Genomic DNA, 18,908 nt, shown 5'->3' with positions numbered 1-18,908 from the left:
AACAGATAAAAGAGTTGAAAGTAATTGTTTCTGGCTGGGGGGTAACTGGGAGTGGTCAAAGGATTGCTGTTTTTCTTATTGTTGTTACAGTCTAGTAGTAATGTTTGAATTTTAAAAGCTTTTAAACATCACTTCAGTCAAAATTAATTTTTTATTCTTCAGTGGTTGGTGCTTTGTAAAAATAAATAAATAATAAATAAATAAATTTTTTCTTTTAATACAAGATGGCAAAAAGAATGCACCTGGCTAAGTTAACTTAGAGAATGGGTCAAGTATGCAAGGTAACCAACAGGGAAAGTTACAGAGAGAGGGAGAGAGATTGAGAGAGAGAAATTTCCACAGAGAAGTGGAAACAAAAGGATGATGTTTTTGGAGGAATGACAAGCAGATTTAAGGGAGCCAGAGAGAATGAGAAGGGATGAGATTGAACAGCCAGGGCAGAGACACATTGAACATTTGTCATGGGCTATATACCCAGAAGGGAGCAACTACTTCATGGAAATTCTGTGGGCAGAATCCAGAGAAGCCACTGAATTAGCACTCCAGTGGCTTTATGCAGAATGGTTTTGATTTGGGCCTCTAACATGAGATTCCTCCTTCCTCAGTGACCAAGTCAGCTGAGAGAAACGGCTCCGGCCTTAAAGCTGAAGACAGAAGGAAGGATGAACTGCAAAGCCATAAGGTGACTGATTAAAACCCTAATTATGTGTCAACCCAGGCCAAACCAAAGTAAATAATGAAACATGTCTGTCTACTACGTGGCTTTGGAGCAAGTCGGTTAATTTCCCTGAGCCTCAGTTTTCTCTTTTCAAACAATAAATGTAATAAAGCCTGCATGTGTATAGCACATCATACTTTTCAGAGCCGTTTTTCATTTTCCTTTTCCCCGAGGTGGGTAGCATAAAATTATACAGCCAGTTATCGGTGGAACCTGAATTCTATTTCTAGATCTAATTCACTTCTCTTTGTAAACTTTGCTCAATTAAGAGTCAGAGAACTCTATGAAGTAAAAAGAAATAGATATATATTCCAATTTATAAAGGAAGAACCAAGATATACCCCATATCTCCTGGCTCATTTGGAACCAGGACCCACACCTAAGTCTTTTGGTGCTCAGTTGGGGGCCTTTTCCAATATACAGCATCTGTTGTGACTAAATGAGACTTCGTGGGTAGGTAGAAGGGCAGCTCGTAAACATGATAGTGCCCGCTCCTGCCGGCTGCCGTGGACAAGCGGGCCTGGGTGTGGCCACCATCCTTCCCTGAGTCCAGGTTTCACACGCTCTGTCCTGTTTTCAGGATATCCATTTGTCTGATTTTTTTATTTAGAAAAATACCACCTCAGTAGTAATGACAGCTAAGATTCACTCCTGCGCCTGCCCTGTAGGGGGTCCTGCTGGTGGATGCGTGAGTTGGGGAGAGGGAGGCCAGGAGGAGGCCGGGCTGAGGCACCCGGCCCCGCTTGTCCAGCAGGCTCTGGTCGCCGCCGTCCCGACGCCTGCTCCGCCTCCTGGGCCTGGCGAGTGCGCGAGGCCGAGGCTTGGGGCCCAGCTCGGCTCACTTTGGATGTTTTTAAACTCGCACGATTTTCTTCCGAACACCGTCCCGCAGCCCCTCGTTCTGCCCTCCCGGCCACCCCACGGCAGCGCCGCGAGGAAAGAGCGCCCGGGGCTCAGCCTCCAGGGAGCCGGGACCCACCGCGGCCAACACGGGCCCCGCGCCCCTTCCCAGGCTGGGCGTCGCCGCGTCGCGCCCCCGAAGGCCCCGGCCGTTCCTGCCCCAGCGCCTTTTAACCGGGGAACGCTGACTAGCTGAATACAGCGGGAAAGCCGCCATTTGTTCTGGGGCTGGCGGCCGGCATTGAAGCCAGATGTGCGCGAGGCTGACGTTGACATGGCACATCTGGTGGGGGTTTTGGTTTCCATCGCGGAGTTTACCACATCCACCCCAGTCGGCTAGGAGACAGGAGGCGGACATCTGGAAGTCATTGCAGCTGTCACGCTTCAAGGGGATCCTGTACCACAGAGAAGAGAATTCAATACGTAACGGAGCAAAATTGTCCAGCTCTTCTTGTCAGCCCAGATTTCAAACACATGCAGGAACATGGCAACCGCGGTATGGCGCCCTCCGTCCCTCTGGGGTGCCCGTGGCCACCGCAAGCCCGAGGGTCCTTTGCCCACTCCAGGCTCCTCAGTTGTCTCCATGGAAAGACTGGCTAGAAGGCCACGTTCTTTTGATCTCAGTTTGCTGGAAGTTTTAAATTAAACCTTGCTTAGGCTCTCATCCCATTTCCATTCATACCCTCTACCTTCTCCTGGCATTCAATGCTCTAGCCCTACCCTACCTACTCAACTTATCTCCTGTTCCTTTCCCAAAGCAAATACGACTGCTCAGCAAGGCTAACTAACAGAAGTCAGGCTTATTCTGACCCCAGCTTTTCCTCCTGCGTGGAATCCCCTGTTCTCTTCAGGTCAATCCAAATCTGTTCCCCGTTCTGAGGTCTACCTCAAGTTTATTTTCATCTATGAAGCCCTTCCTGACCTCTCAAGCTTCCACTGATCTTTCCTTCTGTGTGTTTCCCTAATTAAGTATAAGCCCATGAAGAGGAAATATCGTTTTACATTTTTCTATCTCCTTCAGCAGCAAACATGCTGTGCTGAAGTATAGCAAGCCCTCCATAAACCCAGTTGGATAAAAGCATGAATTAATATTTTCTTAATTAAGAAAAAATGAATCAACGCTTTCTGGTCTTTCCACGTAATTTTGTTATCTCCTTTATTTTTCATAACAAGACTCAATGTCTACGTGTAGTATGTCTTGAACTTTTTGGAAAGATAGCTCTAAAAATCTAGTAAATTAATAATAATACCTGAAGAATTCTATTAATTTGAGATTCCATTAATTTGGAATTCTGCCAGCTATAGTGCATTGATAATTGATTTTAAAAAGTGAAGTGTAGTGGAAAGAGAACCAGGGTACAAAGTCAGAGGATCTGAATCCTATTCCCAAGAGTGTCCCTAACTTTGATCTTGGACAATCATTCACCTTCTGTATGGCTCTAGTCTCCCTCTGTAAAAAGATAAAAAGTTGTGTCCAGTGGCCTCTTCCTGGTAACGGACAGAGCTGGGGACATTCTACTGAGTAGGGATACCCTTCAGCGCAGCTTTTCCCCACCATTTCTAGATCTGTTCTGGAGTTAGAGGGCGGCAGTCTCCATCAATCAGTGTTTCACCTGCCCAGCACCAAAGCCACATGGATACATATACAACGTGGAGAAAGGGCAGAATAAGGAAGGAACAAGCATAAGTAGCTGCAGGATTTAGCTGTTGTGAGTGTCTAGTGTTTTCAAAATTAAGACAAGCCATTGCAGCAAGCATTGGGAAAGACTGAGCATCTCAAGCCGTAGATGGAATCTCTTGGGTTTTGTCCTTCTTTTATGCATTGATACAAATGCAAAGCACCCTGCTCTATCCTTGCTATATGGGATGGGTAAGAATGTAACAGGATAAGTAGGATGCAGTGATCAAGGAGAGGAATAGAAGGAAGGAGGGGACTACCAAGGGAAAAAGAAAGTGTGCCTCCTTGATATGGTTGCCCAGCCAAATAGGATGTTTAGCTTCCATGGGAGAAAGGCCATGTAACAAGGTAGGAAGGGAATAGGAGTCACAGAGCCAGGTGGGTCTCTGCCATTCTGCCCTGTGGGTAAGACAGATGGCTTTTCCTTCCCAATCCTCGACTACAAAAATGAGGCACTTTTAGAGAAATAATCTCCAAACTCTTTTAGCTCTTACCTCACATAATTCATTTGGAAACCATCTTTGAACCCAAATTTAACATACCATTTCTGACTAAACTCCAAATCTCTGCCCTAGGGTTTCCTAAACTTGTGGGGTTCTGAGACATCATCACAAAGGGGAATTTGGGTATTAAATTCCTGAAGTCCTTTTGCTTCATTCCTTCTAATGGAAGAAGAAACTTTCTCCCTTTCTCCCTGGGGGCAATTGGTTGTAATAGGAAGATTACAGGTTAATGACTTAGAAAATCTTCCTCAAACGAGAATAGTACTTAATTAAATTCCATTAAATCATAACTCCTGGCTTCTGTTTTTGGCCCCTTGCTCCTGAGTCCAGAATCACATTCTTCCTTTATCCCTGGGGTTGTTGAATTAAAAGAGCATAAAGCTCTAGGGAACAACCTGATCACCTCCGCTCTATCCACCACCACTGCCTTCCTGTCTGAACACTCAAAAGATGGCCAGTGGGCAAGCCAGACTCCTTCAGAAGAGAGGATGGTCATTTCTAATTTGTCTTGGTTTATGAGCAACTTGACAATTTGACTAACTACCAAAGAGCCAGGACTAGATCATCATCTCATAAAAAGCTAATAAAAAAGGCTGTTAATGCAGCCCATTAGTCTGCTGAAAATGAGAGGTTATGCAATCATTGTCTTAGCTGGGAAGACCTAAGCTCTCCAGGAAGAGTTCACACAGCACCCAGAAAGTCCTTAAGAGGGAAGTTCATGCCTCTCTGCTGTCCTTTATGGAGCTTGGGCATTTCAGCATCTTGCCCCCTCTTTCCTTCCCTGAATGCTTCTTCTCTTTCAAGTATACCCTTGTTTTCTCTCTTCAAACTCACTCCCTCTCCATGGACACATTCTGCCACATTTCTCTGCTGTGTTCTAAGGGTGAAGCCCTAGAAGCTTCCATTCTTATGAGAAAAGTGCTCAGAACTACAGACTAGACTCAGGCCAGCCTCACACACAATCAGGCAATTTTAGGGGTTCTAGGGATGCCTTCCTTTCTCAAATAAAAAATCTGCCCTCTTCTGAACCCCACTGTTAGATTCCTTGGGAACCTTGAAGCTTTCCATTATTCAATAGTTCTCTGTTACAGACCCTGGAGAGGAACTGAGGGTGCCAGATCCCCTTATCTTGTGCAAAAGGGCTCTCTTCCTTCTCTGAAATGCTAGTGTTCTGTACGATTTTGGCACTTTTCATCCAGGGATTTGCTCTGTGACTTTGGGCTAATCACTTTTCCTCTCTGGACTACAACATCCCCCTTTGTAAAATGACTAAGAGAAGAGAAATTCTAACTTGCAGCAGGAAATTCTAGTTAAGCCCAAGGACAAGCTCTGATTGAAAGGACGGTAGAAGGGTAAAGAGTGAGTTATCTTTACATTCAATTCTAGCTCTTACCACGTAGGGCTGAACCACTTTGAGATGCAGCTCTCACCTTTGTGTGCATCTGGTCTTCCGTCTTGTGTTTATTGAAAGGATGATGCAGAGACAATGCTCTTCGGACCCCATCTACTTGCCTAGCATTGTCCAGAGCATGAAAGTTAATGCGTAATTGATTTACTCTTATGCTCAATTTATTTTCAAGATGACTCAAGGTGCCACCAAAGAAGGATACAGTTCAGGAGCAGTTTAAATGGAATCCATCTGAAGGAATCAGAAGAAATTGATGGTTTCAGGCACTGAGGATGTTCTGCTTCTGATATTTTAGCAACAAATTTGGCCTTTGTTTTTCTGGCAGCTGAGGCATAAGGGGGTGACATGAAGGACTCTGTGCTTCCTAGTGAATAGTGGGTTCAATAAATATTTTTTTCTTTTTTTGGAGTGGGGGTGGTGGCAGGGGGAACAGGGTCTCACTTGGCTGCCCAGGCTGGAGTGCAGTGGTGCAGTCTTGGCTCAATGCAGCCTCCACCTCCTGGGCTCAAATGATCCTCCCACTTCAGCCTCCCGAGTAGCTAGGACTACAAGCAAGTGCCACCACACCTGGCTAATTTTTTTGTGGTTTTTGTGGAAACGGAGTTTCACCATGTTGCCCAAGCTGGTCTCAAACTCCTGCGCTCAAGCGATCTCCCTGCCTTGGCCTCCCAAAGTGCTGGGATTATAGGTGTGCAGCACTGCACTCAGCCATAATAATTTTTTTTCATTGACTCTCAGCCACCCCTTGGTTGGGAAGGCAAAACACTGAAGGGGGAAAGTCCCAGATGAAAGGGGAACAGGGTAGATTTTGAGGACGGCTTTTGGAGATGATAAAACCCTAGAACAAGATTCAAACTTTCCTGTTGCTAAGGCAAAGCCCGTCTAAGAAAGTCCCACGATGCATGCAGGCCACTAGCACAGCTCCAGCCTAGGAAGCAGGCCCAAGACTGCACAGGCTGCTGGGCACATGCCCAGTTGCTCCCTGTAGCAGTTCCATCCCAGACGCTTTTTACAGGAAAATGTAGTATTTCTCTGTTTTGCCCAATCACACACCTTTGGAAGAGAAACAAAGTCATCTTCTATCCGTAGGTCCTTAAGCCTGAGTGCTAACCAGCTCCAAAGCTGTCCCAGAGAACCCCTCATTACAGAAAGCTTTTGCCACTGACTTGAGGATGAACACAACACCTCCTCAGCAGCAGTCAGCTCAAACTCCCCCTCATATTCCCGAACCCTGCCGCTGGGGTTCATTCAGTCAGACCCAGGATCAACCCCAACCACCCTTGCAAGAATGAATACTCAGTTTAAGCTCTGAAATTCTCCCAGTTTCTCCACAGATGAAATTCTCTTTCTCTTTGCTCCTCCTCAACTTCCACCTTCCCTCCCAGCTGCCACTCAAAAAAGCATTTGTTCTGTGGCTCCTTTTCCAGATCCAGGCTTTTTCTACTACAGGGTCCGCAAGGTTATTTCTGCTCCAGTCGGGGAGCCAGCTAGGTAAAATCTTACAAAGGTACTGCCACCTTCACCAAATTCAGTTGCATTTGGAAACCTGATTTGCCATGCTTCAGGGTGCCCGGGCTACCGGCTCTTAAAACCAACAAAACAGTGGGAAATGACTTTCTGAGGTCATCTTGTCCAGCCTCCTGCTTCTAGACAGGTGACTATCCAAATATTTTTTATTTTTATTTTTTTTGAGATGGAGTTTCACTCTTGTTGCCTAGGCTGGAGTGCAATGGTGCGATCTTGGCTCACTGCAACCTCTGCCTCCAGGAGGCAAGCGATTCTCCTGCCTCAGCCTCCCAGGTAGCTGGGATTACAGGCGCCCACCACCATGCCCAGCTAATTTTTTGTATTTTTAGTAGAGAAGGGGTTTAGTAGAGAAGGGGTTTCACCATGCTGGCCAGGCTGGTCTCAAACTCCTGATCTCAGGTGATCCGCGCACCTCGGCCTCCCAAAATGCTGGGATTACAGGTGTGAGCCACCCTACCCGGCCCAAATCTTACTGAGATAATTATTCCACTCTATCTTCTGATAGTTCTGCTACTATTTAATCACTCTTTTAGATGAGTTCTTCCTTAGATTAAACCTGATTTTTTTCCTGCCCTAATTTAGGCCCAATTCTCAGCCTATTCTTTGTAACTGTGACAAATAACCGAGTGTTTTCTCTCTGTCCTTAGCCTTCTCTTCAGCACAGAAAGTCTCCCCAGAAATAAAACTCTGATTGTTCAACTCCTTCCTTCCCACTTGTCCCTTTAAGCACCCTCTAAATCAGACCTGAGGCTCCCAAGAGAGTCATATCCTCTCTCTCGCAGCTGGTCTGAGTTTTGTCATCTGGGAGACTGGGCTTAGAACAGCTTGAAGTTAGTACAGAGGCGAACGAAGCTTTAAATCTCCAGCACTTAACAGCTTCTCTGCAGCCTCAGAGGTAACCACATTTTCTTGCCTTCTTCCTCTCATCTCTATATATATCTGTGTAATCTCTGTTCACTGGAGCCTGACTCCAGCCCTCTGTCTGCACCGCTCTGGTTGCGCTGAAAGAGGGAAGGTTAGGGAAGAAAAATTAATAGACACAGACCCATAAAAATAACAGGCTCTCTAGAGCACACATGAAGAAATAATTAAACAGATTAAACTTGGGGGATGGAAAGAGAAGGGCAGGAGGCTTAGCAGGCAGAGACTGATGCCTCTGATTTTCACTTCCAAAGGGGCTGGGGCTCAGTGGGGAGGGATTTTTGTGCTTTTTTCTTCGTTCCGGTGGGTTGGATTCACAGCCGAATATTGTTAAGTCACTAAGCTCTTTAAAGGCTAGGATGGTGCCTTATCTTTGTATCCCCTCTAGGATCCTCAGATCATGCCACACCCTAGTGAGAAAAGGAAATTTGATATTTATGGAGTGTTCTTTATGTGCCACGTACAAAGTTAGATACTTTATGTCCTGGCTGATTGTCAACTGAGGGTGTTTCAAACTTCAGAAATGAGTGCAATCATTTTCCTATGACCCAGGATGATGTCTACCTAAAGATCTTGTGATTTTGAAGCCGAAAAATAGCTTCTCACATCTTCCCCTGCCTCACTCCTTCCCTTTCTCTCTTCAATGGGCAGGAGCTTTTGCTACGATGGTGAAGGAAAGAGGAGGCTGGTATTTAGAGATCACTTCAATATCAAAATGTCTTAGTCAGCAAGGCTCTCAGAATGCCCTGGGATAGTGAGAGGGCTGCAGAGACGGAAAAGCCTTCCTCCCTCTCTCACAAGTACCACCATTCCTCTGGCACCATTCCTGGAAGCTCAAATGAAAACACCCTAAAGAGGAACAATCCTCAACCACTGGTACATTGAGCAGGGTGACCCATGCCTATAACCCCTGCTCTTTGAGAGGCCAAGGCGGGAGGATCACTTGAGCCCATGAGTTTGAGACCAGCCTGGCCAACATGGGAAAGTCCCTGTCTCTACAAAAAATAAAAAATTAGCCAGGTGTGGTGGCATACCCCTGTAGTCCCAGCTCTCAAGAGGCTGAGGTGAGATGATTGCTTGAGCCCAGGTGGTCGAGGCTGCAGTGAGTGGAGATCATATCACTGCACTCTAACCTGGGCAACAGAGCGAGACTATGTCTCAAAAAACAAACATAAAACCCCTCTATTAACATTACTTTCTGATTTTTCAACAATTTGAGAATAGATATTAAAAGACAAGGTTCAGAATAGAAACACCTTCCCCAGGGAGTGCAGACCTGAATGGCACCCAGAACAATGACTGGCAGCAAGATCACAGGGCATGGGAATGAGGCAAGCCAGATGCATGCCTCGGTCCACCGGCTCCTGCTGGCAGATTGCTTCACTGCTCTGGGCCTCTCACATGCTCTCTCTCTTCTTTTCTTTTTTTTTTCCCTCCCTCCGTCCCTCCTTCCTTTTGTCCCCTCCCTCCCTCTCTTTCCTTCCTTCCTTCCTTCCTTCCTTCCTTCCCTCCCTCCCTCCTTCCTTCCTTCTTCTTTTATTGAGACAGGATCTCACTCTATCACCCAGGCTGGAGTGCAGTGACACAGTCATAGCTCACTGCAGCCTCAACCTCCTGGGCTCAAGCGATCCTCCTGCCTTGGCCTCCCAATTAGCTGAGACTACAGGTGTGCATCACTGTGTCCAGCTAATTTTTTTATTTTCCTATAGAGAAGGGGGTCTCACTATGTTGGCCAGACTGATCTTGAACTCCTGGGCTCAAGTGATCCTGCTGCCTCGGCCTCCCAAAGCACTGGGATTACAGGTGTGAGCTACCACACCCAGCTTCTAATTTTTTTAATGAATAGGCTTTATTTTTTAGCAGTTTTAGGTTTACAGAAAAATGAGACCAAAAGTACAGAGTTTTCTTATACGCCCTCCCCACTAATTTCCTCTGTTACTAACATCGTCACTCTTTGGGTTGTACATTCTATGGGTTTTGACAAATGTAAAGACATGTACCCTTGACCAGGCATGGTGGCTCACGCCTGTAATCCCAGCAGTTTGGGAGGCCAAGGTGGGCGGATCACTTGAGGTCAGGAGTTCAAGACCAGCCTGACCAACATGGCGAAACCTCATCTCTACCAAAAATACAAAAATTAGCCAGGTGCTGTGGCAGCACCTGTAATCCCAGCTGCTTGGGAGGCTAAGGCAGGAGAATCACTTGAACCCAGGAGGCGGAGGTTGCAGCGAGCCAGGATCGTGCCACCACGCTCCAGCCTAGGTGACAGAGTGAGACTCTGTCTCAAAAAAAAAAAAAAAAAAGACATGTACCCAACATTACCCTACAGAATACTTTCACAGCCCTAAAAACCCTCTGTACTCCACCTATTCCTTCTCCCTCTCTCTCCCACCCTAACCCTCAGAATTCACTGATCTTTTTTACTGTCTCTATAGTTTTGCCTTTACCAGAATGTCATACAGCTGGAATTGTATAGTATATAGCTTTTTCAGAGTGGCTTCTTTCATTTAGTAATGTGCCTTTAAGGGTCTTCTTCTTCTTTTTTTTTTTTAATGGCTTGAGAGCGCCTTTCTGTTTATGGCTGAATCTCTAATTTTTTTGTTGAAGCATAACATATATACATTAAAGCCCAATGAATTTTTATTAAGTGAACACCCAAATAAAGATATAGAAAATTACCAGCACCCCAGCACACTAGTGCCCCTCCCGGTTACTACCAGTCCTCTAAAAATAACCACTAGTCTGACTTCTATCATCACAAATTAGTTGAGCCTGTCTTTGTAGTTCATAGAAATAGAATCACACAGTATGTACTTGTATTAGTCTGTTCTCACACTGATATAAAGATACTACCTGAGACTGGGTAATTTATAAACAAAAGAGGTTTAATTGACTCACAGTTTTGCATGGCTGGGGAGGCCTCAGGAAACTTACAATAATGGAAGAAGGCAAAGGGGAAGGAAGGCAAGTCTTATATGGCAGCAGGAGAGAGAGACAGTGCACAGAGGGGAGCTGCCAAACACTTTTTAAAACCATCAGGTCTCGTGAGAACTTACATCATGAGAACAGCATGGGGGAAACTGCCCCCATAATTTAATCATCTCCCACCAGGTCCCTCCCTCAACACATGGGGATTACAATTTGAAGTGGGATTTGTGTGGGGACACAGAGCCAAACCATATCAGTACTCTTCTATGTGTGGTTTCTTTTCTTCAATATTTAGGTTCATCTGATATTATGGCATTTGTTCTTGTTTATTCCATCATATAGATATACCAATTCATTTAACCACTCTGCTGTTGATGGATGTTTGTGTTATTTCCAGTTTGGGGCTATTACAAATAATGCTGCTACGAACATTTTTATATATGTCTTTTGGTGAACATATGCTCACATTTCATTTTGGTATAAACCCAAGAGTGGAATTTCTGGGCCACAGGGTATCTGTACCTTTAACTCTGGTAAATAATGCCAATTTACCAAAATCCTTGTACCAATTTACAATCCCACAACTTCTCATCCTCCCAAATACTTAGTATTGTCAATATTTTCAATTTTAGTCATTTTAGACCCATGGTCATTTGAATTTGCATTTTCCCAATAACTAATGAAGTTGACTACTGTCTCAGGTCAGGTCCCTTGAGAAACAGACTGAGATGGAGGTTTGCATGAGGAAGTTGATTGGGGAATGCCCTTAGATGGACACCTGTCAGAGACAGAAGGCAACAGGATGGACGTCTCATTGCAATAGGCTTCCGCTGATCCCATGGGAACTCAGGAGCTGGCCTGACCCTTCAGAGTTGTCCTGCCTTGAGGCAAGGGGGCCAAGCCTTCACAGCAATCACTGAATGTGGTTTTGACCCATCATTGAATGCAGGTTGTCCTTGGAAAGGAGTATGACTGGGTAGTAGAGTTCTCTTTTGCCAAGGGCAGTTCCTAGAGAGGACCACAGGGGAGGAGAAGGCTCCCAGAAGCTAGGGAGATGAGCGCTTTAGTCCCAGAAGGCAACCTTAACTCCACACTGTAGCTGCATCAAGCACCTTTTCATATGCTTCCTGGCTACTTAGAGACCCTCTCCTGTAAAGTGCCTATACTGATTTGCCAAGTTCTTTTTCATTAGGTTGTCTTTCTTTTACTTATTGATTTATAGAAGTGTTTTGTATATTTTAAAGATGAGTCCTTTGTCAGATATATGCAATACAAAAATATATATTGCCTTTTCATTCTTTTCATGGTGTCTTTTTATGAATGGAAATTCTTAATTTTCACAGTTTTTTATTCCTTTTTGACAAGTGGGTTTTATTGTGATCTGTTTACAAAATCTTCACATACTCTAATATCATGAGAATATTCACATGTTGCCTTCTAGAAGCTTTATTGTATTACTCTTCATATTAATGTCTGTGGTCCACCCTGAATTGATTGTTGTGTATAGCATGTTCTAGAGACCAAATTTACTTTTTTTTGTTTGGACTTCTAATTAACCTTAGCACCGTTTACTGAAAAGATCACCCTCATCTCATTACATTTCAGTGATAACTTTGCCATAAGCCGGGTGACTGTGTCTATGTGGGTCTATTTCTGGGTCCTGTTATGTTCTGTTGGTCTTTATGTCTGTCTTTGTACCAATTCCATACAATTTTAATTATCAAAGCTTAAGATAAGTCTTGATAGCTGATCATATAACTCCTCTGACTTTGTTTTCCTCAAGAGTGTCTTTATTATGCATAGCTCTTTCCATTTCCACATAGATTTTAGAATCAGCTTGTCAATTTCTACCAAAAAAAACAACAACCTGGCTTGGATTTCTATTGGAATTGTATTGAATCTATCGATCAATTTTGAGAGAATTGACTTTTTACAGCACTGAGTCTTCCAATCCCTGACCATGGTATATATTTACTGTCTTAGTCTGTTTTCTGTTGCTTACAACAGAATATCAGAAACTCAGTAATTTGTAAGGAAAATAAATTTATTTCTTATCGTTATGGAGGCTGAGAAGTCAAAGGTCAAGAGATCACAACTAATGAGAGCCTTCCTGCTGGTGGAGATTCTCTGCAGAGTCCCAGGGTGGCATAGAATACCACAGTGGGGGCTGTGTGTACTAGTTCAGGTCTCTCTTCCTCTTCTTATAAAGCCACCAGTCCCATTCCCATGACAACTCATTAATCCATTAGCCCATTAGCCTATAAATCCATGAAAAGCTTAATCCATTCCTGAGAGCAGAGCTGCCATGACCCAATCACATCTTAATGGCCTTACCTCTCAATACTGCTGTATTAGGGATTCAATTTCAACATGAATTTTGGAAAGAACAAATATTCAGACTAAAACATCTATCTCTTCTTTAATTTCTCTCAGTAATGTTTTGTAATTTGCAGTAAGGAGATCTTATACCTCTTTTGTTAGATTTATTCCTACATGTTTGATTTTTTTTTTTTAAGAGTGTCTCACTCTGTCACCCAGCTTGGAGCACAGCAGCATGATCATAGCTCACTGGAGCTCAAACTCATGGGCTCAGGTGATCCTCCTGCCTCAGCCTCTCAAGTAGCTAGGACTGCAGGCACAAGCCACCATGCCCAACATAGTAGTCTTTATTTAATCTTGATTTTCCTTTAAAGAAATTATCAGATGATATTTTATTATATACCATATGTACAAGAGTAGATTCCAATTGTGTGGGGCAGTAGCTTATAAAATTCGGGTGGCCATTTAAAAATATTCATTTATTATTATTATTTTAAATGTGGTAAAATACACACAACATAAAATTTACCATCTTAACCATTTTTAAAGTATTCAGTTCAGTGCCATTAAATACATTCATGGTATTGTGCAACAATCACCAGTATCCATCCCTAAGATTCTTTTATCTTGCAAAACTGAAACTCTATACCCATTAAACAATAACTCTTTATTTCCCCTCCTATGAGTCCATTTTGCTTTCTGTGTCCATGAATTTGACTATTCTAGATCTGTCATATAAATGGATTCATATAGTATTTGTCTTTTTGTGACTGACTTATTTCACTTAGCATAATATCCTCAAAGTTCATCCATGTTGTAGCATATGTCAGAATTTCTTTCCTTTTTAAGGCTGAATATTTCATTGTCCTTGGGACAGGACAAGCCTACCTTCCTAGTAGACCTAGACATTGGCCCCAAAGATGTCTTCTCCATTTCTACCATGAGGACCTAGAGAGTCATAAAATAGTCCTGGAAACCAGACCTCATTAGCCAGATTTAATGAGGCCTCGTTATGACACTCACTAATTTTGCAATTTCTCCACCCACAATGTCTTGGATTCCTTATTTATAAGGCACTTTCACATGTGATCTCACAAAATCACAACAATCCCGATATAGAAATGAGGAAACTGAGACTCAGAAAGACCAACTGGCCTTTGCAAGGTTACACTTTTGATAAACAGGCAAGACAGGATTCAAAGCAAAATCTCCTGCCAAGAAACCTTCTGATTTTAAATGCCAAGTTCCTGAAATGAAATTGAGACTCAAAGCCAGGCACGGTGGCTAACGCCTGTAATCCCAGCACTGTGGGAGGCCAAGGTGGGCGGATTGCTTGAGGACAGGAGTTCGAGACCAGCCTGGCCAACATAGTGAAACCCCATCTCTACTAAAGATACAAAAAAATTAGCTGGGCCTCAGCCTTGGGAGGCTGAGGCAGGAAAATCGCTTGGACCTGGGAGGTGGAGGTTGCATTGAGCCTAGATTGCACCACTGCACTCCAGCCTGGGTGACAGAGTGAGATGCTGTCTCAGAAAAAAAAGAAAGAAAGAAAGAAGGAAAGAAAGAAAGAAAGAAAGAAAGAAAGAAAGAAAGAAAGAAAGAAAGAAAGAAAGAAAGAAAGAAACTGAGACCCAAAAAAAGGATCAACAAAATGAAAAGTTGTTTTTTTTTTTAAAGATAGACTGCTAAGTAGATTAACAAAGAAAAAAGAGAGAAGATCCAAATAAGCACAATCAGACATGACAAAGGCAACATCACAGCCAATCCCACAGAAATACAAAAGATCCTCAGAAACTACTGTGAACATCTCTTTGCACACAAACTAGAAAATCTAAAGGAAATGGATAAATTCCTGGAAACACAGAAACCTCCCAATATTGAACAACAACAACAACAACAACAAAACCCCCAGAAATCCTGAACACACAAATAAGGAGTAATCGAATTTGAATCAGTAATAAAAAGCCTACCAACCAAAAAAAAGACCTGGACCAGATGGATTCACAGCCAAGTTCTACCATACATACAAAGAGGAGCTGATACTAATCCTATTGAAATTATTCCAAAAAATCAAGGATGAGGGACTTCTCCCTAACCCATTCTATAAAACCAGTATCATCCTGATACCAAAATCTGTCAAACACACAACAACAAAAAAATAAAACTACAGGCCAATATCCCTGATGAAATAGACACAAAAATTTTCAACAAAATATTAGCAAACCAAATCCAGCAGCACATCAAAAAGTTAATTCACCATGATCAAATGGGCTTTATTCTTGGGATGCAAGGATGGTTCAATGTAAGCAAACCAATAAATGTGGATCATCACATAAACAGAATTAAAAACCATATGATTATCTCAATAAACACAGAAAAAGTTTTTGATAAAATCCAACATCCAGGCAGGTGTGGTGGCTCATTCCTATAATCCCAACACTTTGAGAGACCAAGGTGAGAGGATCACTTGAGCCCGGGAGTTCAAGATCAGCCTGGGCCACCTGGTGAGACCCCATCTCTACCAAAAATTTAAAAATTAGCCGGGCATGGTGGCATACACCCATGGTCCCAGCTACTCAGGATGCTGAAGTGGGAGGATTGCTTGAACCCAGGAGGTCAAGGCTTCAGTGAGCCATGATTGTGCCACTGCACTTCAGCCTGGATGACAGAGAGAAACACCATCTCCCCTCCCCTCGAAAAATACAACATCTCTTCATGATAAAAACTCTCAACAAGCTAAGCATTGAAGGAACATACCTCAAAATAATAAGAGCCATCTATGACAGACCCACTGCCAGCATCATACTGAATGAGAAAAGGCTGGAAGCATTTTCCTTGAGAACTGGAACAAGACAAGTATGTCCACTTTCACCGCTCTTATTCAACATAGTACTGGAAGTCCTAGCCTGAGCAATCAGGGAAGAGAACAAAATAAAAGGCATCCAAATGGGAAAAGAGAAAGTCAAATTATCTCTCTTTGCTGACGATATGATTTTATACCTAAAGACTCTGCCAAAATTCTCCTAGATCTGATAAACAACTTTAGCAAAGCCTTGAGATACAAAGTCAACATACAAAAATTGAAAGCATTTCTATACATCAATACCATTCAATCTGAGAACCAAATTAAGAATCTAATCCCATTTACAATAGCCACACATACACACAAATAAAATACCTGGGAATACATCTAACCAAGGAGGTGAAATATCTCTACAAGGAGAACTATGAAACACTGATGAAAGAAATCACAGGGCTTGGCGCAGTGGCTCATGCCTGTAATTCCAGCACTTTGGGAGGCCGAGGTGAGTGGATCACCTGAGGTCAGGAGTTAGAGACCAGCCTGGCCAACATGATGAAACCCCATCTCTACTAAAAATACAAAAAATTATCCAGGCAAGATGGTGGGTGCCTGTAATCCCAGCTACTCAGGAGAATCACTTTATCCCAGGGGGCGGAGGTTGCAGTGAGCCAAGATCATGCCACTGCACTCCAACCTGGGCAACAAGAGTGAAACATCATCTCAAAAAAAAAAAAAAGAAAAGAAAGAAAAAGAAAAAGAAAAAAAAAGAAATCATAGCTGACACATACAAATGGTAAAGCATCACATACTCATGGATTGGAAGAATCAATATCGTTAAATGTCCATACTGCCCAAAGCAATCTACTGATTCAACACTATTCCTGTCAAATTACCAATGTCATTTTTCACAGAATTAGAAAAATGCTATTCTAAAATTCATATGGAACCAAAAAGAGCCCAAATAGCCAAGGCAATCATAAGCAAAGAAAAGCCAGAGGCATCACATCACCCGACTTCAAACTAAACTACAAGGCTACAGTAACCAAAACAGAATGCTATTGGTACAAAAATAGACACATACACCAATGGAACAGAATAGAGACCCTGAAAATAAACTCACACATCTATAACCAAGTGATCTTTGACAAAGTCAACAAAAATAAACAATAGAGAAAGGACGCTTTATTCAATAAATTGTTCTGAGAAAACTGGCTGACCATATGCAGAAGAATGAAAGTGGACACCTATCTCTTAATATATACAAAAATTAACTCAGGATGGATTAAAGATTTAAATGTAAGCCCTAAAATGATAAAAAATCCTAGGAGAAAACCTAGGAAATACCCTTCTAGACATTGGCCTAAGCAAAGAATTTATGACTAAGTCCTCGAAAGCAAATGCAACAAAAAATATTGAAAATTGGGACCTAATTAAAGAGCTTCTGCATAGCAAAAGAAGCTATCAACAGAGTAAACAGACAGTCTACAGAATGGGAAAAAATATTTACAAACACTATGCATATGACAAAGGACTATTATCTAGAATCTATAAGGAACCCAAACAACTCAACAAGTAAAAAACAACCCCACTGAAAAGTGGGCAAAGGACATGAACAGACACTTCTCAAAAGAAGATATACAGGTGGCCAACAAACATACGAAAAAATGCTCAGCACTGCTAATCATCAAAGTGATGCAAATCAAAACCACAACAAGATATCATCTCACACCACTCAGGAATGGCTATTATTAAAAAGTCAAAAAATAACCGATGTTGGCAAGGCTGCAGAGAAAAGGGAACCCTTATACACTGTTGGTGGGAATGCAAATTAGTTCAGCCACTGTGGAAAGCATTTTAGAGATTTCTTAAAGAACTAAAAACAGAATTACAGTTCAACCCAGCAATCCCATTACTAGTTGTAGGAAAATAAATCATTCTACCAAAAAGACATCTGCACTCAAATGTTTATTGCAGCACCATTCACAATAGCAAAGACATGGAAATCAACCCAAATGCCCATCAATGGTGGATTGGATGAAGAAAATATGGCACATATGCCCCATGGAATACTACACAACCATAAAAAAGAACAAAATCATGTCCTTTGCAGCAACATGGATGCAGCTGGAGGCCCTTGGCCTAAGTGAATTAATACAGGAACAGAAAACCAAATATCGCATGTTCTCATTTATAAGTGGGAGCTAAGCATGGGGTACACACAGGCACAAAGATGGGAATAGTAAACACTGGACCCCAAAAGGAAGGAGGGAGAGAGTGGGACAAAGGTTGAAAAAACTATCTATTGGGTACTATATTCCCTACTGGGATGATAGGATTATTAGAAGCCCAAACCCCAGCGTCACACAATATACCCATACAACAAACATGCATGTGCACACCCTGAGTCTAAAATCAAAATTTTTTTAATTAAAAAAAAAATGCTGAGTTCTGTACAATGGAAAGGTGGGATGGCAGGAAGGTGAGCATGTCTGCAAATCACAAGACTCCCTGGGCGCCGTGGAGATGGTCCTCAGCTACGAACAAAGCCATTTTCTAAGGCTCTTGTTCTTGTCTAAGGGAACAGAACCAAAACTTCCAGCCAGGGTTCTTCCTGTCTGTATTTCTTCTGCTTTTCCACTGGGTAGTTGGAAGCTGAAAGTGTGAAAACTGGAGGTATTTCAATGCCGAGGTGCCTGTTGTCTGATAAACGCCTGTCTACTTCGTCTCTTGGCTGGACGGGGAGCTGGCTGCCCAGGCAGGCCAAGCTGTAGCACCCCTTCCCAGCTGGCAGAAGATCGCAGGGCACCCCCTGCCCAGGGTGCGAGGCTTCCTGTCCGCACTGAAGCATCTGGCTTGAGCTAATGAGCTGTTGGCATGCATAGGCAATTATTTTAGCTCTTTAAAAACCTGCCAAACTTCTTTTTATAGCCATGGCAGTCCCTTAATGACTCAGGCCTGAAGTCAAATCCTCTGTGCAGAAGGCAGTGGCTCTGCTCTAGGACGTTCCCTGCCCCTTACACTGCCCCAAGTCATGGGCCCAAGGTTCAAGCTTTACCCATCTCACCTCCCCACAGCCTCAGAAGGCAGGGTCCTAAGGAGGGGCTCAGGAGGCTCGCTCAGTTCCAGGAAGTCCCAGCATATTCTGGGACCACTGGACGGGAACAAAGACCAAGGCCTCTCACCTGGGCCCTGGAGTGTGCTGA

At 43.2% G+C, this 18,908-nt stretch overlaps 3 annotated features.

Moving 5' to 3' along the window:
* Positions 957–1,558: an enhancer, noted in NCBI's record as "H3K27ac-H3K4me1 hESC enhancer chr8:38508629-38509230 (GRCh37/hg19 assembly coordinates)". NCBI's record gives its function as "activates a minimal SCP1, AML or CMV promoter by ChIP-STARR-seq in primed H9 embryonic stem cells {active_cell/tissue: H9 hESC(primed)}" and the evidence as "EXISTENCE:reporter gene assay evidence [ECO:0000049][PMID:30033119]".
* Positions 1,559–2,161: an enhancer, noted in NCBI's record as "H3K27ac-H3K4me1 hESC enhancer chr8:38508026-38508628 (GRCh37/hg19 assembly coordinates)". NCBI's record gives its function as "activates a minimal SCP1, AML or CMV promoter by ChIP-STARR-seq in naive and primed H9 embryonic stem cells {active_cell/tissue: H9 hESC(naive and primed)}" and the evidence as "EXISTENCE:reporter gene assay evidence [ECO:0000049][PMID:30033119]".
* Positions 7,423–7,492: a silencer, noted in NCBI's record as "silent region_19131". NCBI's record gives its function as "represses an Ori minimal core promoter by ATAC-STARR-seq in GM12878 lymphoblastoid cells {active_cell/tissue: GM12878}" and the evidence as "EXISTENCE:reporter gene assay evidence [ECO:0000049][PMID:35858748]".

The sequence above is a fragment of the Homo sapiens genome, chromosome 8, assembly GCF_000001405.40.
Source record: "Homo sapiens chromosome 8, GRCh38.p14 Primary Assembly".
NCBI classification, from domain to species: domain Eukaryota; kingdom Metazoa; phylum Chordata; class Mammalia; order Primates; family Hominidae; genus Homo; species Homo sapiens.
Note: the sequence above shows the minus strand (reverse complement) of the source record. Positions and strands in the feature narration are given on the sequence as shown.